Source organism: Homo sapiens, chromosome 12, assembly GCF_000001405.40.
Source record: "Homo sapiens chromosome 12, GRCh38.p14 Primary Assembly".
Lineage (NCBI taxonomy): Eukaryota > Metazoa > Chordata > Mammalia > Primates > Hominidae > Homo > Homo sapiens.
The window spans coordinates 104,448,093-104,468,106 of NC_000012.12; the positions used below are offsets into that span (position 1 = coordinate 104,448,093).

General features: G+C 46.1%; 1 protein-coding gene across 4 annotated transcripts in view, besides 10 other annotated features; it reads left to right on the plus strand.

Moving 5' to 3' along the window:
* Positions 4,243-4,745: an enhancer, noted in NCBI's record as "H3K4me1 hESC enhancer chr12:104846113-104846615 (GRCh37/hg19 assembly coordinates)". NCBI's record gives its function as "activates a minimal SCP1, AML or CMV promoter by ChIP-STARR-seq in primed H9 embryonic stem cells {active_cell/tissue: H9 hESC(primed)}" and the evidence as "EXISTENCE:reporter gene assay evidence [ECO:0000049][PMID:30033119]".
* Positions 8,525-8,574: an enhancer, noted in NCBI's record as "active region_6911". NCBI's record gives its function as "activates an Ori minimal core promoter by ATAC-STARR-seq in GM12878 lymphoblastoid cells {active_cell/tissue: GM12878}" and the evidence as "EXISTENCE:reporter gene assay evidence [ECO:0000049][PMID:35858748]".
* Positions 8,595-8,674: an enhancer, noted in NCBI's record as "active region_6912". NCBI's record gives its function as "activates an Ori minimal core promoter by ATAC-STARR-seq in GM12878 lymphoblastoid cells {active_cell/tissue: GM12878}" and the evidence as "EXISTENCE:reporter gene assay evidence [ECO:0000049][PMID:35858748]".
* Positions 8,745-8,874: a silencer, noted in NCBI's record as "silent region_4794". NCBI's record gives its function as "represses an Ori minimal core promoter by ATAC-STARR-seq in GM12878 lymphoblastoid cells {active_cell/tissue: GM12878}" and the evidence as "EXISTENCE:reporter gene assay evidence [ECO:0000049][PMID:35858748]".
* CHST11 (carbohydrate sulfotransferase 11) overlaps positions 8,856-20,014 on the plus strand; it is a 305,067-nt gene continuing 293,908 nt past the window's right edge. For 2 of the 4 annotated variants that reach the window (NM_018413.6, XM_047428914.1), the window contains exon 1: positions 8,856-9,437. In NM_018413.6, coding sequence (NP_060883.1) covers positions 9,320-9,437 — 118 coding nt within the window. In that variant the 5' untranslated portion in view covers positions 8,856-9,319. The remainder of the gene's footprint in view (positions 9,438-20,014) is intronic. The other 2 variants (NM_001173982.2, XM_047428915.1) reach the window with 1 other exon arrangement.
* Positions 8,955-9,124: a silencer, noted in NCBI's record as "silent region_4795". NCBI's record gives its function as "represses an Ori minimal core promoter by ATAC-STARR-seq in GM12878 lymphoblastoid cells {active_cell/tissue: GM12878}" and the evidence as "EXISTENCE:reporter gene assay evidence [ECO:0000049][PMID:35858748]".
* Positions 9,165-9,444: a silencer, noted in NCBI's record as "silent region_4796". NCBI's record gives its function as "represses an Ori minimal core promoter by ATAC-STARR-seq in GM12878 lymphoblastoid cells {active_cell/tissue: GM12878}" and the evidence as "EXISTENCE:reporter gene assay evidence [ECO:0000049][PMID:35858748]".
* Positions 9,595-9,644: an enhancer, noted in NCBI's record as "active region_6913". NCBI's record gives its function as "activates an Ori minimal core promoter by ATAC-STARR-seq in GM12878 lymphoblastoid cells {active_cell/tissue: GM12878}" and the evidence as "EXISTENCE:reporter gene assay evidence [ECO:0000049][PMID:35858748]".
* Positions 10,035-10,174: a silencer, noted in NCBI's record as "silent region_4797". NCBI's record gives its function as "represses an Ori minimal core promoter by ATAC-STARR-seq in GM12878 lymphoblastoid cells {active_cell/tissue: GM12878}" and the evidence as "EXISTENCE:reporter gene assay evidence [ECO:0000049][PMID:35858748]".
* Positions 10,335-10,394: a silencer, noted in NCBI's record as "silent region_4798". NCBI's record gives its function as "represses an Ori minimal core promoter by ATAC-STARR-seq in GM12878 lymphoblastoid cells {active_cell/tissue: GM12878}" and the evidence as "EXISTENCE:reporter gene assay evidence [ECO:0000049][PMID:35858748]".
* Positions 14,844-14,893: an enhancer, noted in NCBI's record as "active region_6914". NCBI's record gives its function as "activates an Ori minimal core promoter by ATAC-STARR-seq in GM12878 lymphoblastoid cells {active_cell/tissue: GM12878}" and the evidence as "EXISTENCE:reporter gene assay evidence [ECO:0000049][PMID:35858748]".

Genomic DNA, 20,014 nt, shown 5'->3' on the forward strand with positions numbered 1-20,014 from the left:
CCCGCCTTGGCCTCCTGAAGTGCTGGGATTGCAGGCGTGAGCCACAGTGCCTGGCCTATCTTTCATTTTTCAATGAATATTTTCACCACATTTTTTATGTGCTGTTTAACTTTGCTCCTTTTCCTTTGACATACGAAAGTTTTACATTTATGAACAAATATTTAACAAATATTTCTCAGGCTGCCCGCATAATGCAAGGGATTGTTTTAGGCCAAAAACTCTCTGAATACTTAGATAATTCCTGTTCTTGGATTCCCTGCTACCTCCCAGTCCTTTGGGTGAGCAGGTTTATAGAGAGCCCTTTCATCTTTAGAGAGAGGTCCAGAAACAACTCTGAGAGACATGCTTTTTCACTGCACTTTAGGGCAAAAAAAAAAAAAAAAAAAGACAAAGGTGAGAATTGTTTGCACCAATTATTTACAGAGACTCATTTTATCCTTATTTCTAAACAACTATTTTTAGGGAAAGAGAAGGGGAGGACAGGGGGCTTTAAAAGTCATGAGATTTGCCCTGCGGAAAGTCCCTGGAAGTGAGCAAGTCTGTGAGTGAGAAGGGAGGACCTATCTGCCTGGGGGAAAAGCTCTCCTTTAATTGCCTGTTTCCTATCCTGCAGCCCCAGGCTTCTCCCAAGCTCCTTTAAAGGTTGATCTTGACAAGAAGCCTGGAGATGGTGCTTGCTAGACATGGGTAGAACATACAAATATGAGGCCAAGTGCTGTGGTGGTTCACACCTATAATACAAGCACTTTGGGAGGCCAAGGCAGGAGGATCGTTTGAGCCCAGGAGTTCCAGACCAGCCTGGGCAACATAGTGAGACCCCCATCTGTACAAAAAATAATAAAAAAATTAGCCGTGTGTAGTGGCGTGTACCTGTAGTCTCGGCTCCTCACGAGGGTGAGGCAGGAGGAGCTTGAGACTTGGAGTTTGAGGCTACAGTGAGCCGTGTTTGCATCACTGCATTCAGCGTGGGAAACAGAGTGAGACCCTGTATAAAAAAAAAAAAAAAAGAACGTATGCTGGATACTCTCAGACTCTCAGAAGCATGGGCCTTGCTGCCTTATAAGCTTGGTTCAAATCCCACCCCACCTCTGCCAATTAACAGATGTGTAAGTAAGAGTGAGTCCCTTAAGCTTTGTGAGGCTCAGTTTTGCCATCTGTGTGAGGGGATACTCATGCTGCCCTTGTGTGATGGATGAGGATCAGTGGTCGTGTATGTAAAGTGCATAGCAGAGTCTGCCCACAGTGGGTATGCAATCAGAGGCCATTCTAACATACCAGGAAATTAATCGGCAAGTTCGTGTGGGTCATCAGTGTGTGGTCAGCATTGCACCAAGTTCTGTGACAGCAGGTTCTAACAGTCAACCTGCGTGAGCTTGTATGGTGTGGCCAAGGAGATAGGGCACAGCTCACAAAATGACTCTGCAACTGTATATGAAGTGCCAAATTATAGAGGAGTGGTTTAATTCTTATAAGCATAAAGATAACTCTATGGTTTGAAATAATTAGAGAAAGCGTCACGGAAGAAGTAGGAGCTTAAGTTGGGTGTTGATGATTTAAGAAACATATTCTTTGATTAGACAGAATTTTTTCCATCTGAAAATGAAAATAGCTACATATTTTTCCTTTTAAACAATAATATGTACTCTTTTAAAAATACTTAGATAATACAGTAAATCAATTAAAAAGTCTCACTGCCCAAGAATACCTACTATCAATACTTTGTTGTATGGAGAACATATATATTTGTATATGAATACAATTATGTTTGCTTATTTATGCAAAAAACAGGAGAATATGTAAATATAGTATTGTAGAATATTCCATTATACAGAGGCTTTCTAATTTGTTTAAATCCTTATTACTAAAAATTTAGGTTATTTTAGCACGGCTAAGTACATGAATGCCTCAGTTTCATCAATCAATAACTTAGTGATTTTGGTCTTGGATCACTTTCCAGAAATGTCATAAAAGTTGTATCAATTTATACCACCTTCCACCATCAGTTTATAAGAGTTCCCTTTTTCCTACACCCTTCCCAGTACTGACAATTGTCAGTGTTTTACAGTCATTGCCAAGCTGCCAGGTAAAAATTATATTACTCATTTAATATGTATTTTTAGACAACTCTGTGTTAATCAGTGGTGATAAAGACATGGTCCTAGCCATCCCCTCTGAAAGCTCAGAGACCAGCAGGAAAAAGAGACATTAAACCAGTAATTACTGTAAACTGTGATGAGGGGTGTTGTAATTTGCATTTCTTGGATTATCCAGTCAGATCCTTAATGAATAAAGTAAAACGGGCCCACTGAGGTTTTACAGTGATGTGGCCTCTTGTTTCTTGGTGGACAGATGTTCTTTTTTGCCCGTTGTTAACTCATGGAATACAACAGCTAGTAGGTGAACAACACAGAACATCCTGAAGGATTTTCTAGGGGAACAACATGAACTAGATTATGCTTTTCTGGCCTCATTTCTACAACATCCTCAGAATCTTAGGTCTATTATCGATGCCTTGAGGACTATACCTTGCCTGTGAGGATTATGTCCCGATGTAGCATACTCTAATTGCACAACACGGGATAAAATAATAATACAATAAAATGGTGCTAGAACAACTGGATACCAGTATGAATTTAAAAATGGGCAAATGATTTGAACAGCCATTTTATAAAGAAATTCATGAATGATTAACAAACATGCAAAGATACTCAACACCACTAGTCATTAAGGAAATGTAATTCAAACCATAATGAGATACCATGTCACACTCAGTAGAATGGCAAAAATTAAAAAGATTGACAACACTCAGTGTTGGTGAGGATGTGAGACTTTCCTACCTTGCTGGTGGAAATGCAAAGGGATATAGCCACTTTGGAGAAGAGTTTGGCAGTGTTTTATAAAGTTTCCTAAGTATTTTCCCAAGATAAAATATTTGTCCATACAAAACCTTGTATGCAATTGTTCATAGCAACATTTTTTGGTAACAGCTAACAACTGGAAACAGTGTAAATGTCCATCAATCAAAACTAAATTATGGTAAATCCATGCTCAACAATAAAAAGGATTAAATATTAATACATGCAACAAGATGAATGAATTTCAAAATAACTTTGCTAAGTCAAAGAAGCCAGACATGATGGGCTGTGTCCAGTATGGTTCCTTTTATAAGAAATTCTAGAAAAGGCAAAACTATAATGAAAGCAAGATGATCAGTGGTTGCCTGGGTCCAGGGTCTGGGCTGGGGATCAACAGCAAAGGGGTAAGAGGGAGCTTTCTGAATGATGGAAATGCTCTGTGTCTTGGTTATGGTGATGAGGGTTTGTATACACCTATAGACAATTGCCAAAACTCAGCAGGCTGTATACTTAGAATGAATATATTTTATTTATGTAAATTATATTTAAATAAAGCTGAGAGAAAAAACATTAACAAATCTGAACTTTGCTCTTTTAAAAGGTATTTCCTTCTTGATTTATTATTGTTTTTTTGAGACAGAGTCTCACTCTGTCACCCAGGCTGGAGTGCAGTGGCACGATCTTGGCTCACTGCAACCTCTGCCTCCAGTGTTCAAGCGATTCTCCTGCCTCAGCCTCCCAAGTAGCTGGGATTACAGGTGCCTGCCACCATGCCCAGCTAATTTTTGTATTTTTAGTAGAGATGGGGGTTTCATCATGTTGGCCAGGCGGGTCTCGAACTCCTGACCTCAGATGATCCTCCCAAAGTGCAGGGATTACAGGCGTGAGCCAATGTGCCCAGCTTCCTTCTTTAGTATTATTTCTATTCTGAATTACATATGGGAGTGGTACACCATAAGCTCCCAGCACTCAGAGGTTCTCAGCATCTTAATCTGGCCCTGGCACCGAGCATGACAGGCCCTCTTGGCCACACGAATCACCTCCAAGGCATCTGCCTGGCTCTGTCCTTGAAGCTCCCTCAGGTCAGCAGTTCTGTGACTTTTGTGCCATGCTTAGGGCACTGGAATCCCTGGTGGCACTGGGATCACTGTGCCAGGTTTTAGCCATCCCAGGTACTAGTACCTATGGAGCATCCACCTCCCAGGCAAAAGGGGGCAGGGCACTCACTTATTCCTTCACAAATCCACCCCCAACACCCCCTTCTCTCCCTGCCATTATCTCTTCCACAGTTTTAAATTTTTCTCCCAGGAAGCCTTCATCAAATCCCTCAGGCAAGGTGGCACAAAGCCTGCCTGAAATGGAGGGGGCGTGGAGAAGTGGAAGTAGGAGGATAACACACACAAATGAATATTTCAATAAATTATCATGCCATGAATGTCAAAGTGTGCTCAAGAAATGCTAATGTCCTTACTGAGGAGCAGCAAGAGGCAGGCAGGGGGCCTGGAAAGACTCCATAGAAAGACCTGGATGATCTGGTGGATGGGGCCAGCAGAGGCGCTGGCAGGGGCAAAGTGAAAAAAACACAGTGAAGGCACCTGGTGGGGTGAGGAGGGGTACTGGGGTGGGTGGAGGGCCAGGAGCTGAAGGTTTCCTAGTTATGCAGATAGAGTTTAGGAGTTGATCAGGGGCCACCAGTTGAGAAATATTTGAGAGGGATGAGTGGCTCACGGAACTGATTTCTGGGCTGTGCCTGGAGACGGGGAGGTGGCCAGGGCTATCCAGAGGGCAGCTGGAGTCGGCTTAGGGTAGGGCCCAAGGGTCCCACAGACCTGGTCCTCAGTAAGGGAGGGAGAGGAGTCTTTCGGGCCTAAACTAGGTGGAGGAGCAAAGGCGGCATCAGAAAGTCAGACAAGGCCTGGCGCGGTGGCTCACGCCTGTAATCCCAGCACTCTGGGAGGCTGAGGCAGGCGGATCACTTGAGGCCAGGAATTGGAGACCAGCCTGGCCAACATGGTGACACCAATCTCTACTAAAAATACAAAAATTAGCTGGGCATGGGGGTGCATGCCTGTACTGAAGCTACTCAGAAGACTGAGGCAGGAGAATTGCTTGAACCCAGAAGGCGGAGGTTACAGTGAGCTAAGATCACGCCACTGCACTCCAGCCTGAGTGATAGATTCTACCTCAAAAAAAAAAAAAAAGAAGAAGAAAGTGAGACAGAATAATGAGGGATAGTCCTTTCCTCCTTCCTCTCCTCTCTCCTTTATTTTCTTCTCTTCCTTCTTCCCTCTCTCCTTCCTCCCTCTTCATCTTGTCTTCCCTTCCTTCCTCCCTCTCTCCTTTCCTTCGTCCTTTCTTCTTTTCTCTCCCTTTCCCTCTCCCATCCTTCCTCCTTCTCTTTCCCAGGCAATTCTTTTCTTTTCTTCCCCAACCCTTTCTCCTCTCCTTCCCTCCCCCTTCGTCTCTTCCCTTCCCCTCTTTTTCTCCCTTTCTCTTTCCCTTCTTCAATCCCTTTCTCTCTTGCTGTCTTTTTCTCCACCTTGTTCAGAAAAGCCTGCAAAGCAGAGCCTGCTCTCAGAGTCATGTCACGAGTAACCCATTTGTGTTACTTGCGGTTTACCTACCTGTAGAAAATTTGTACCCTAAGATCTCCACATACTGCGGGCAAATGGTTTATAATTCAACTTCACAAATATTTACTGTGCTCTGGTTAACTGAGTATCCTTTGTGCTAGAGGTGCCAGAGAGATGCAAATGGCAGCGCCAGTCCTTGGAGGAGCCAGTCTGGGGCCCCTGGCTGATGTTGGCAGAAGACACATCCCTCTCTCCCTTCAAGGATGCTGAAGAGCTCTCTGTCTACTAGTACCCTGGGCCCACTTTTCTCTCCAACAAGGTGCAGAAAAGGGCATCGTTGCCAGGTTTGCAAGATCGTAACAAGACAGTGCATTGTAGGTATAATCTGCCGGAATGAGGAGGCGCTCAGCCTGCGCGGATTGGAAGGGCCACATAAACATCTGTCAGTCCATTGACAACAGCACCCAGAAGCCCGAATTGTGACTTCACACCGATTTCTTCCCCTGCTATAAATTCTACAAGATCGTCAACATAAATAAGACTTTCTCCTCAACCAGTTTTTCAGGGCCATGCCAGGCTTTAAAATGGGCAGGCCCCTGGCCGGGCGCGGTGGCTCACGCCTGTAATCCCAGCACTTTGGGAGGCCGAGGTGGGCGGATCACGAGGTCAGGAGATCGAGACCATCCTGGCTAACATGGTGAAACCCCGTCTCTACTAAAAAATACAAAAAATTAGCCGGGCGTGGTGGCACGTGCCTGTAGTCCCAGCTAGTCGGGAGGCTGAGGCAGGAGAATGGTGTGAACCCGGGAGACGGAGCTTGCAGTGAGCCAAGATCGCGCCACTGCACTCCAGCCTGGGCGACAGAGTGAGACTCCGTCTCAAAAACAAAACAAAACAAAACAAAACAAAAATGCAGGCCCCAGTTTCACTTGCATGTTGTTGAATTTGGAGAGTCAATCAATCAAGCCAGGTCCCACAATGAGCACAATGCCAATCTGCAGAATCTTTCAGGGCAAAAGGGAATTTAGAAAGATGAGGGAGAAAGGATCTGAAGACTGATCCGTTCCTCTTTCAATGTTCAAAGTATAAAATTTTTCTCCTCAGTTTTATCAGTTAATACTGTCCTTTACTTGGCTAATATTTATTATATAGCATAAGATGTAACAAAATTTTCTTAGGCTAGGAATGGAAAGAAAGCAATGATTCTAACTGTAGTTGGGCAGTTTAGAGTGTGATGAAGGAGAAAACAGAATTTTTTCATCACCCCTCAATGTGCATAGAACAACAGAATCACAGACCATTACCACTGACCTTTGTCATAGATTTTAGAGGTGATCTAATCTAACTTCCTAGTCCAAGTAGGCATTACCTCTCTGCCTCTGACTTATTTGTACCTACTATGTACCAGTCATTGTGCTGGGCATTAGAAAGAGACAGAGATGAAGACAACTTGGATCTCCAGGAAGGAGTTCAGCCTAGTGGGTACAGTGGCCCAAAAGAGGTTTGGACCTAGTGCTCACAGCGCAGAGGAGGAAAGTTGCAATTTCAGGTGAGAAAACAGCAAAGACTTCTTGGGAGAGGTGGTAGCTTATGTGTCACAGCCTTAATCCTCACTGTGTTTGGGCAGGTTCCTGATTGTGGGAATGCAAGAATGGATGTTGGGCATGATTCACCATCCTCCCCCACCATGTGGGCCAACTCCATGATCTCTGTGACTCACAGGGAATTGGACTTCTGATCTCTTCCTTGACCCTGTGACTTCCCAAACTGCCTTGTGCATGTCCAGGCTTTGGGGCAGGTAACTGAAGTCTTTGGCCTATGAGGTGAGAGGTCACTTGGGTGACCTGGGAGTAAATCCCTTCCCCTCCCTGGCTCTGTAAAGCCAAGTGTTAAATGAGAGACTTATATTCCAGGCAAAGGCTTTGTGCAAATGCCCATCTAAGCCATGCCCTCTGCAAGGAATCCCCTTTCTTAGTGATGATGGTGGGGAGGTGGGGAGGGTGCAGTGCAACTCCCATTCCTGATCTCCTATCACCAGAGCAGAAGAATCACTGGAGAACGACTCTGTCTGAAGCTTGTTCAGCCTGGCTTCCTTGAGCAAGCAACTTATTCACAGGTAAGTCCAAATTAATACAGCGCACACCGGCTACATAAATATTGTGCTTTGATTGTCTTCTGTAATCAAAGGCAAGGCTGCTGAGTTTGTTACTTTCCCCACCATGCAACTGCTGGAGGAGAACTCTGGGGGAAGGGAACTGAGGTTGCCCAGGTGGTTTTTGTTGCATGTGTCTAACTGCAAGTTGTGTCTCTGTCTATCGAGGGGAGGATAAGGCCCATTACATTCAGATTCAATAAGAATTTATCAAATGCCTATTTTGTGAGAGGCATTGAAAGACACAGTATCTTATTTCATTTTTAATTGAATTAGTAATGACTTGATAAGGCACAAAGGTTAGTCTAACTAACATTTTTTTTTTCCCTGACATACGAGTGATCCCTACACTATTGGCTGTGTCCACTTTATTGATTGTGAAACAGCCTAAATGCATGGAATTGGAAACTGGAAGTCATTCTACACAATACAAGAAAGCAGCACCATCTTTCCATGTACCTGCCAGTGCTATGGCTGGCTTGGCTTTTCCAGCAGTTTTCTGGACTTGGTTGAGGTGGCTTCCTAGGGGCATTTTCTCACCCCCTCCCAGCTAAGACTGCTGTTAATTTTGAATAATTTGGAGGATGCTCTACCCTTTGGGGTAGCAGAGTTTTGCAACCCACAGATCCCTTTTGCCTTGAGGAATGGTGGTGATGGTGGGTGTCAGAGATTCTGTCTGTATAAGTCCCCGGGAAAGCTCAGCTGTCGCCTGACCCGAGGGTCGTGCAGTTTCCTTAACCCTGACTTTAAGTCAGCCCTCTTTAACCCCGACTCCCAAGCTGGGCTGTCCTTTGAAAGAAAAACGAAACCGCCCAGTTCTGAGCGTCGGAAAATGGGCACTCGCTCCCTGGGGGTTTGGGGCAACTTCCCCGCTACGTCGCCCAGGGATTTTAAATAATTGCCAGCCACCAGAAACCCCCTAACCCTTAATTCTTCCCTCCGAGACCCAGCCCGCTGCTTGCCACTTCCCTCTCCAAACGCTGGCGGGGGTGGGTGGCAGCACCGAGGCGATTTTCTTCGTCTTTTTTTCCTCCGGGTTTTGTCATGGAAACGCTGACACAACCTCCAGACGGCGGCCGAGCCCGGCCGGGGACTGAGGGCTTTTGGGACCCTGCGGGAGCGCGGCGCGCACACCGCACTCCCCGGGCAACAGCTGGACGCGACCATATCCCGGGTAGGGGCGGGGGGAGCGCGACGCTCCGCCCCGGCGCTAGGGTCCCTCCCTCCTCCCGGCTCTCCGCAGGCGCCCTCCCCTCGCCGGGGGCCGCGAGTTGCATTTGGTAAAACCCAGCCCCGGAATATATAGATCGTTGGAGCGCAATGAAGTAGCCTTTGGAGAGAAGGGAGAGGGCCCGTCGGACAGCCACAGCGGCCAGCGCAGCGGCAGCGGCGGCGGCACCACCATCACCGCTCGCACCCCAGCCGCCCGGCCCGCGACCAGGCAGCGGCGGCCGCCGGCGGGATCGGAGGAGGCGGCGGAGCGGCGAGGAGGAGGAGCAGGAGCGCGCAGCCAGCGGGTCCACGCATCTCAGCACTTCCAGACCAACTCCGGCACCTTCCACACCCCTGCCCGGGCTGGGGGCTCCGAGAGCGGCCGCGAAGCGACTCCGATCCTCCCTCTGAGCCTTGCTCAGCTCTGCCCCGCGCCTCCCGGGCTCCGGTCCGCGCGGCGGGGTCCCTGCTCCTGCGCCCCGGGCGCGCTTCCCGGACACCCCGGTCCCCGCAGCCAGGACAAAGCCATGAAGCCAGCGCTGCTGGAAGTGATGAGGATGAACAGAATCTGCCGGATGGTGCTGGCCACTTGCTTGGGATCCTTTATCCTGGTCATCTTCTATTTCCAAAGTATGTTGCACCCAGGTAGGGGGCGCGTTAGCGTGGTTTTGTTGGATATTTTCTTCTCTCTCGCGCTCTAGCTCGCTCCGCCTGATTTCTGCCTCTTCCAACCCTACCTCTCCGCCTTCGGCCTCTTCGGGGCTCCTGGCTGCCCAGAGCTCCTGGCTGCCCAGATCTACCCGGGTCACCGCGTCGGGATGGGGAGGAGAAGGGAAGGTGTGCTTCGCCCTCTTCTTCCTACCGGCTCCGGGCTGGAGGATGGGACCAGGAGGGGCGGTAGTTTTTTTTTTTTTTTTTTTCTTCTTCTTTTTTTCTTTGTGTCCCTTGTCTGTCTGTCTGCGAGGTAGCAGGGAAACGGAGAGGTGTGGGAAGCAACCGGGGGTGAGGGGCTGGTTTGAGGAGAACGAAACTCCCTCCCTGCTGCTGCCGAGGTCGGAGGATGAAAGAGTTACCCGGAGCCGGCTGCTCTGCGCCCGGGCGAGCCGCCTCTTCCTGGTTGCCGGGCCGGGGGCGAAGGGTGTACGCCCCGGCGAGGTTGCGAGTCCCTGCAGCAGGCTGGGAGCCCGGGACTGGGCTCCCACGTGTCCCGGGCTCCGCGCAGAGCTGAGCAGGTGTGGAGAGTGGTCGGGTGCCCAGCGTTGCCCCTCCACCACGCGCCGGCCGTTTGCCCCCGGGGTCCGGCTCCGCAGTGACCTTGCGGCTGGTGCCCCGGGGCCTGCTCCAGCCCCCAGCCCTGAGCTGGAAACTCCGAGCTCCTGGGTCACGCCTTGACCACTGCAGTTTTGGAGGAAACTTTGGCCAGGTCCTGGGCTGACCGTCCGTTTGCATCCCCCACTTCTGGGATCCGAGCAACGGGAATCCCCCGGGCGGCGTGGGAATGAACCCCATTCCTCCGGTCCCTTGTGGCTCAGGCAAAGTTCCACGTCCGAAATCTGGACTGGGGGAGGGACGAGGCTCGTCGCTTCCTAGGGGTGCGAGGGAAAGTTTGGGTTCTGGAGAGGGAGGGGCGCCCTCGAGCGCGGCGGCCGGGGGTGAGCAGCTCGGCTGCGAAGCCCAACAGGTAGAACGTTCCGAGAAGCCTTCCGGGTAACGCGGGTCTCCCCGCCAAGCCGTGGCTCCCCTGCTCCCTTTTACCCTCCCTTAGCAGCCCCCTGCCGGGCCACGTTGGCTCAGAAATCCATTTTCTACGCCTCCGAGTTGCCTTTCTCAGCGTAGTCACAGCAATAATTTGCTTTTCTAATTGCAAGGAGGAGGGAGGTGGAAACGCATTTCCTTCCAGGGAAGTGGGGTTGGTGTTTTTCATTTTTGCCTCCCGCCTTCTCCTTTCACTGTGTATCTAACACTTTAAACAGACGCAGTCCCGAATTCATCAAGCCTGCGTTTGGGTCGATGGCAGAGGAATAAAGCTGTTCTTTCCATCAAACAGGCAGGGCTGCAGGCTGCAGATTCCTTGACAGCGCAGGGACAGACGGCCCCTTTGCCCCACTCGGTCTGGAGCAGTTGTTAAGGCAGCCACACTGCCAAGGATATGGTCCGACTCTACCACATGTAACCTCAGGACGTCCGAGCCAGCCCTGTTAAAGATGGCTTTTGTTTGCAGCTGGGTATTTTTAGTTTAATGTCAGCAAACTACAGCGGTGTTTGTCTCCTCACCCAAACCTGCGGTTGTGAAACTTATAAAGGAATTTAAAAATGGACCTGGCTTGCATTCCGGCAGGCAGGCCTTGGTTGCAGTGGGCAGGGCCAGACAGCCAGGGGTATCTCAGAGTGCCAAGCTCCAGGGCCCACCGGAGACCGGGCCAGACTCACCCCAGAGCGCCAGGGGACTGGTGGTGTACAGATACACTCGGGTTCAAACAGTTTAAACAAGGGGCCGGTGATTTGGTCTAGACTCTAGAGCTGTGTTCAGGTTTCGCTGGGACCGTGAATGCCAGTAATGCTCTGTACGAATGCCCAGAACACGGATGAGTGTCAGCCTTCAGCAGGAATGCGCTTGAGCTTCTGTGTACCTGTTAATTGCCCAGGGAAATACAATTGTCATGGAATTCTTTGTGAGAATTGGGAAATAACTTTCTAGCCAAAGATACTAGAAAGAAACTTCCAACTTGTAATTGTCACTTTGTGAAAATTTCCAGCCCTTGTTAGTCTTAAGTTGACTTGAAAGTGACATCATATCTTTTCAGCCTAGCCTTTTGGAAGAGGCAGAGAACCTTTTCTAAGCTTGTGCTGAAAAAGATCCTCTGTCGATGATCCTGCCCCATCCTTTATGTCCCCCTCTAGTCCTATTTTCTCCCATTGTTTATTATTTAGATCTCTATAAATATACTTTTCTGATATTTCCCTCCAGTCCATAGCAAATACTACTTTCAAAACATTGTGTTGAATGTAGAATTACAGATAGTTCAGTTGAAAGGCCTTCCTTATTTCAGATTACTTACAGTCCACAAAAGCTCTGTGTCAACAGTTTATCATTACACGGGGCATAAAAATATACTTTCAAATCTACATTAAACATTTTCTTTTTGAGGGGTTCATTTTATTAAGCTACACTGTTAATGACCACTGATGTGGAATCTCTTTCACTGGTTTGAATTTCTTTAAAAGTTAAAGATCCTTGCTTCTCTGAAGTATCTTGGGGGTAAGGAGAGCTGATCCTTCAGCCTGGCTCTGCAGTTTCTGTCTCTCCAGATCACCCTGGGAGAGGCAGAAGGGACCACAGCATGGCACGGATTGTGTAGCTAAAAATTTGGAGGCCTCTGGCAGGGGTTCCAGATACCTACATGTGAAATAGAAAAATAGTATTGCAAAAGCAATGGGTTCCAGGCTTCGTTGGTGGCTGGAGGGTATGAGAGGAGGGAGAGAAAGAAAAAAAGGAAGGCAGGGCGCGGTGGCTCATACCTGGAATCCCAGCACCTTGGGAGGCTGAGGCGGGTGCATCACTTGAGCTCAGGAGTTCGAGACCAGCCTGGCCAACATGGCGAAACCACATCTCTACTAAAAATACAAAAATTAGCTGGGTGTGGTGGCACACGCCTGTAATCCCAGGAACTCCGGAGGCTGAGGCATGAGAATAGCATGAACCCAGGAGGCAGAGGTTGCTGTGAGCTAAGATGGCACCACTGCACTCCAGCCTGGGCGACAGAGTGAAACTGTGTCTCAAAAAAAAAAAAAAAAAAGAGACAAAAAGGAGACAGCTGGCAAGGCTGGCTGTCCCTCTCTCTGATTCTAATCTGGGGCCCATTATCTTTTCTAATTCATAGAATTGATTAATTTGCAAATTTGAGTAATTGGTCATCAGTTGCACAAGGGTTTAGCAGAAGTGGGCCTTGTCAGTAGGATAGTTACATTTAGAAGTTTTTGATACTCTGAGTTAATAGTCTTCCTTAAGAATATTTTATAGGGCAAGGACCAGGTTTTAGACTCCATTTTAATCCCGATGTTTTTTGCACGGTGTCTGACAACAGTGGGTTCTCAATAGAATGTTTGCTGGATGAATGCATGAAGTGGTTAAACTCCAGAAGTAGACCCACTTCTCTGGTTTTCAGGAAGGTCACTTCTAGCCTTGCCAAGAATGCCTGGTCAATAACTCTGGCTCTGTCTGGTGGGGAAACTTCCTGCCTTCCTGAACTGTGACACGGACCCAGTTTAAACTAATCAGGCGCCAGACAGGAGCTTTCACCGTGACCTAAATTTGCAGCCCGTGAGGTGTAGGCAGCTGAGGCACTGCTCTGTGTCCTGGATTCTGGAGAAGGTTGGTCTTGTTTAGCCACTTAGATGGATTCTAAGGAAATCCATCCATAGAACAGACACCTTCTATGGCCGTGAACTATTCCTAAAGCTAGGGAGAATGGAACCATATACCTGTGATTTCTACACAGGTTTGAGTTCACCAATGAATGCTTCCTATGCAAGTTCATCAGCTTGCATTAAAATGTCTTGCATACCTGCCCCAGATGGCTGGGTTTTGATGGAGCTGTGTCATGCAGTGCAAAGCTGAGAGGCCCCCCAGGCTGCATTGGCACAGAGTGTGTAAAGGCAGCTCTTCAGAACCTTCCTTTTGTGTTACTCCATAGGATTGTGGTTTTTGTTTGAAATCTACTGTTCATAGAAAGAAGCCTTCAGAGGAGAAAGCCTTTTCTCTCCTGTCTGCTTCCTCTCTATTATTTTTATTTTTGCAAAATGTTTATTTTCACTGTCACCTGGGATTTCTTTGCCTCGGTTGAATGTATTGAAAGATTATATCCTTTATTTAAAGATGTCTCATTTTACCCCCTTGCACTTTCACTTGATCAGGTTGAACCTAAAATGCATTTTGTATTATAATTTTAAACGAATTGTAAACATAACATGTGCTCATTTTAGAAAATTTAGGAGGTGGCCAGGTGCGATGGCTCACACCTGTAATCCCAGCACTTTGGGAGTCCAAGGCAGGTGGATCACCTGAGGTTGGGAGTTTGAGACCAACCTGACCAACATGGTGAATCCCCGTCTCTACTAAAAATACAAAAAAAATTAGCCGGGCGTGGTGGTGCACGCCTGTAATCCCAGCTACTTGGGAGGCTGAGGCAGCAGAATCACTTGAACCAGGGAGGCGGAGGTTGCAGTGAGCTGAGATTGTGCCATTGCATTCCATCCTGGGCAACAAGAGTTAAACACCATCTCAAAAAAAAAAAAAAAAAAGAAAAAGAAAAGAAAAAAAGAAAATTTAGGAGGTATAGAAGAAAAACAATCATTATTCCACCACCAAGAGGCAACTGGTACTTTAAAAATATATTATAGAATATATTTATATATATTTATATATTCTGTATTTTTCTCAACTATGCAAAATGCATATACATAGTTGAGATAACATCATGCATTTTGTATCCTGTTTGATAATAAGTATTTTAGACAAATACATCATTGTCACAACTAGTTATTAAAGTTAAAGACAAAGTTTAACCATAACTGTTTAAATGTATAGACTTGCATGTGTCTCCACCTCCCACCCTACCCCTTTGCAGGATGTCAGTCTGGTATTATTTTTTTTGCTGTGGTTGCACAAATTTAATGTTACGTTACAGAATCTTTTTGCTTATACATGGAATAGTTTGGAGTCTTACCAATTTGTAGGGGCTGTTCTTATGTTATACACCTGAAACTTCCATTGAAAAGGTGTCAAGAGGGTCTCAAATATGAGACTGTTATGAATTCTGAAAACAGCATTGAATCACTGAAGGATCTCATGTACCCCATAAATATATACAACTACTATGTACCTATAAAAATTAACAAGTAAAAAAATAACTGAAGGAGAAGACATTTTTAGCATGGGGTCTCTCCTTGATCATTTAAATGTTTGCACCTCGATGGAGCATTTTCATTGCTGTGCTCAGATGAGACAGATGTAGGTGATCTCCTTTGATTGTTACAGTCCTCATTTTCATTGCCTTCCAAAATAAAAAGGGGTGATCAGGCACCACAGAAAGGGTGGTTTGGGGGTTTCCGTGGGGTGAGGGGTGAGGGAATCCATCCTTCAGCAGAGGTATCTGCTGTCAGTATTTGTCTGGTTGAAAGATCATTTTGTTCATAGCTTTATCAGCACAGTCATTTCAAAACAGGAAGTCAAAGGCTCATAAGCAAAGGCACCACCCTTTCCCTTCTTAAACCCACCAAAAGGACCTCTCTTTAGTCTGGAGGTCAAGTGAAAAAGGCTCTCATGAAAGTCATTGCCAGCAGGCCTCTTCTAAGTTCAGACTCTGAGGAAAACCAGAAGTCATTCTGCTGATTCATTTTTTTTTCTTTTTAGTTTTTCTTTTGAATTTTTGGGACACCACCTTTATAACAAATAAAAGGGGAGGCAGTTCTTCCTATGAACAATCTGATCTGTCAGTTAAAATTTCCTAGAACTTGTAATTTGATGCATCTTAGATCCAATGTGAGTGATTGAAACTTACAAGCAGACTTGTTCTCCTCCTCCCCAGCCCCCTGTCTGTCTGTCTCTCTCTCTTTTCCTTTCTTCTACTCTGTGCCAGATACTGTTCTTGGCACTGGAGATGTAACACATACATACATCTCTGCCTTCATGGAACTTAGATTCTAGTGGGGCGGACAGACTTTAAGCAAATGCAGAAGTGACATATATGGTATATCAGATGGTGTTAAGAGAAAAACAAAACAGAGAAGATGGTTGAGGGGTGTGAGAGGCAGGGGTTGCAATATAATATAGAGGTAATTAGGGAATGTCATTGATAAGATGACACTGAGAGCAGACACCTGCAGGAAATGAAGGAGCCGGCCATGTTCCAGGCAGAGAGCAACACAAGTCAAATCTGGTCCCTGAGGCAAGAACACGCATGGCAAGGTGGTCAGAGTGCCCAGAGCAGAGGGACGGAGGCAGCCAACAACCACAGTGGGGAGAGACAAGTCGGAGAGAGACAATTGTTTTGAGCCTTGGGTTTAACTGTAGATGGGAGGGAAGCGCTGCAGAAGCTTGAGCAGAGGTCTCTTGGGGCAGGGAGGCAAGGAATAAGGGTGGAAGCAATGTAGCAAGATTGAAAATGAAGTCTCCTACTTGCACTTTTTTTTTTTTTTTTTTGAGGTGGAGTCTTGCTCTGTCACCTAGGCTGGAGTGCAGTGGTGCAATCTGGGCTCACTGCAACCTCTGCCTCCTGGGCCCAAGCAATTCTCCTGCCTCAGCCTCCTGAGTAGCTGGGATTACAGGCATGCACCACCACACCTGGCTAATTTTTGCATTTTTAATAGATACTGGGTTTTGCCATGTTGGCCAAGCTGGTCTTGAACTCCTGACCTTAAGTGATCCACCCTCCTCGGCCTCCCAAAGTGCTGGTAGAGGTGTGAGTCACTGTGCCCAGCTCTACTTGCACATTTGTGCTCATCTTTGGGCAGCCGGTAGTGTACTTTGGTTAAGTGGTCACCATATAAGTCCCATCTCCCCTCTACCACCTGCTCCCCCTTGACCCCCAACTAGACCATCTCCTTTTTCAATTTTTTAAAATTTATCTTTATTTTTAAAAACAGGGCCTTGCTCTATTGCCCAGGTTGGAGTGTAGTGGTGAGATCACGGCTCACTGCATCCTCGAACTCCTGGGCTCAAGGGATCCTCCTACATCATCAGCCTCCCAAGCAGCTGGGACTTACAGGTGTGCCACACACCCAGTCCCATTTCCAATTTTTAAAGCAGTAATGAAGAGATCTGAAAAAGAGATTTGAGAAAAATTTTGACTGAGCTTGTAGTGGGAAATTCGTAATATCTTCAGGGTGCAATCGGTGGCATTTGTTAATAAAAATATCCAGAAAAAGTGCCAGACTTAAATCAGCACTCAATAAAAATAAAACGATGAAATGGATCAGCGCTCTGGGAGTGGAAGACCCGAGTCCTAGTCTGGGGTCTCCCATGTCCTATCCCCATAAATTATTGTGTATTATTGATTCCAGAACATATTTTTTTCACATTTTAGTGATTATGCAATTTGTGTTGTGATTGATGGCATCTCAGCACCGTGCTGCCCTTTAACGAGCAACTGTTTCGTTTCTTAGTGTTCCATCAAATAGCAGTGTGCCTTCACCATGGATGCCTTCTGAGGCCACCTCTGTAAATTGTGAAAGTACTTTATGTAAACTGTGGCACACTTCATAACCTCAGTAAGTGATGAAAAATGGCATTCCTCCAAGATGCAGAGTCTGAGGGCTCAAAAGTACCTGGTTAGTCTTGAGTACTTGCTTCTCAATGGCCAGACTGGCATGCAGTCTGTCCAAGTCTTTTTAACTTTGCCTGGCACTTATTTTCAGAGCCCAGGGCTTGTAGTTAGTATTTGTCTGATTAACGATGAGGTTGGTTAAGAGTTAGAATGGGGAGGGTGGGAAGTAAGTGATTTAACTTGAGGCTTGAACCTGGAAGTTCATCTAGAAATAGACATAAACATTGCCCAGGGAAAGTATCACCAATGTGGATTTTTGTTTCTTTCAAGGCTACTGAGCTGTCATGACTTTGTCATTTCTCTTTTCTGGCCCTTTTAGAAATGTACTGTGGTTGTTTGTTTTTTTGTACATCTTCCTCTTTTGACATAGCAAGGCATGGATTCTGTCAGGTTCATCTTTATAGCCTCTGACCCTGGCCCAGAGGTGCCTAGGAAACATTTAAAGAGTAAATAATTGATTCTCAAAGATAAGCCTTTCCACCTCGGTCACCACCCAATCCATGTGCGCAGAACTCAGAAGGAGGAGCCAGGTTGGATTGTCATGTACAAACAGCATCTGCTGTGGTCTAGTCCCTTTGTCTCCCAAATCTCTTTGCTTCTGTTCTGCTGTGTTTCAGGGCAGGAAATAGAAATCAGTCTAGATATTTTATTTTTTAATTTAATTTAATTTTTTTTTTTGAGACAGAGTCTCACTCTGTCGCCCAGGCTGGAATGTAGTGGCACCGTCTGGCTCCTCTGCCTCCTGGGTTCAAGCGATTCTCCTGCCTCAGCCTTCTAAGTAGCTGGGATTACAGGTGCCCGCCATCACGCCCAGCCAATTTTTGTATTTTTAGTAGAGACAGGGTTTCACCATGTTGGCCAGGCTGGTCTCGAACTCCTGACCTCAGGTGATCTGCCCGCCACGGCCTCCCAAAATGCTAGGATTACAGGCATAAGCCACCGTGTCCAGCACCAGTCTAGGTATTTTAAGCAGAAAGATATTTACTAGAGGGAATTTTGTGCTTATAGAGGCATAAGGGGGCTGGAGGAATGGGGCTCCAGGAATGTCTCCCAGCTAATGGTAGTAGTTTATATAATAATTAATAAACAAACGTATGTTGGCATGGCTGTTCAAAAAAAACAAAAAACAAAAAACAAAACTGACTCACTAGGGGTGCTACACCCTCTGATACTGTGTCTGGAACTATTGAGTTCAAGAACAAATTGATGGCAAAGCCGGAGAGTGGACCCTATAATGCTGTTGCAAAAAACCCTCGTGACCCCATCTCCATGCTTGCCAGCGGCCAAACAGCCCCAAAGGCAAGAAGATGGCCTCTCTGCCCCACATCTGCTTTCTAAATCTCAAGTGAGTGCTTCTATTTGGGAGAGCCAAATTCACATCTAGAACCTTAGCTTCAAAGAAGCCTGGGAAATACAGCTTTTCAATTACCAGCCTCTGCAGGCTAGAAAGCTTTCTAGAAGGAGGGTAGAATGAACGATGAGCAAATAATCACAATACTCACCACACCCTATTGGTAAAACATATTTGAGCAGCCATCCCTCAATATATTTTGTTTATAAATAATTTCTGCATATTACTACCATTATCTACATATCTAGGATAGGATCCTTTCTGACTAGTGACTGCAAACCCCTATGTCGTTATCTGTTGGATAATTCCGTTGGCTGACTCTTTATCAATTCTGATTCTTTCATCCTTTTGACCTTGTAATGTTGTCCACAAAGATACAATGGAGAGCTAGTACTCAAGAGGGAGGAATGCCATTTTCTTGTGTGCCTGGATTGTGACAATTATCTTCAAGTTGTGGTTTCTTGGCTGGGATCTCTTTAGGCCTCAGTTCTATTTTGTGAGGAATAGGATAGTTAAAAGTAGATAATATAATCTGTAAATTTACTTATGATTCAGTTGTAAATGGTTATTCATTGAAATATGCTGAGAATGGTGGAATTATTGAGGTGGTCACTCCAGTTCATTTTGTGGTTGAGGATACCTGCCTGAGTTTCATAACTGACATGTAATTTGATATGACAGGTTAGATGGAGTTGTTTGTGGCCATTTGTATTCTTGATATAGTTAAAATTTTTTTAGGTTAACTGAAAATGGAAGGTCTGGTGTCTAGATGAACAAAAAATGGGAAGTCTGATGTTTCCTTCCCGGACCCCTTTTGTGGCACAGTGTCCACTAGGATTTTGGAACTCCAGGACTAGACCTGCCTTGAATGTCATTGGTTATTGTCAAACCTGCCATTGTCAACTCTGGGTAAAAGTACAGTGTTAACCTGGTGCCAGTTCTAGCGGTGGTGGAGGCTTAGTTTGGCTTTAGATAAGCTGTATGGGGAGGGCTGATATTTCCAGCATCACCAGGACTTGGGTTCTGTCTCATGTAGATATGGATAGAGACAAAGAAACCTGGTAATGGAAGTGTTTCAGTCCTTATCATTCTCTGGCTTGAATCGTTATCTTAAATGCCTTGGGAGAAGAAACTCACAAAGGCAACTCAAGTGAAAGAAGCTGGTGGCTGGGTTTCTGTTAGAAACTGTTAACTTCGAAGAATCTCAGAAGAGGGAAACCACAGAGGCCCCTCTAAGGTAGTGTTGTAACAGGACACTTAACATTTCTTAACGGTTGTCATATTTTACCTTTAATATCATTGCATAAGGTCACTCATTATAGTGAAAAGAGCACAGAATTTGGAGTCTGGACACCAGCTTTTAGGATTTGGCTGTTCCCTATATCCATTTGACATCATTCAAGATATTTTTGTTAAATGCTTACTAAGAGTTAAGCTCTGTTCTAGGTGTAGAATCAAACAGGTGAAAATCCATGTCCTCATGGAACATACATCATAGTGGGGGAGACACAATAACAAATGGATATTAAATTATAGAGTATGTTGGA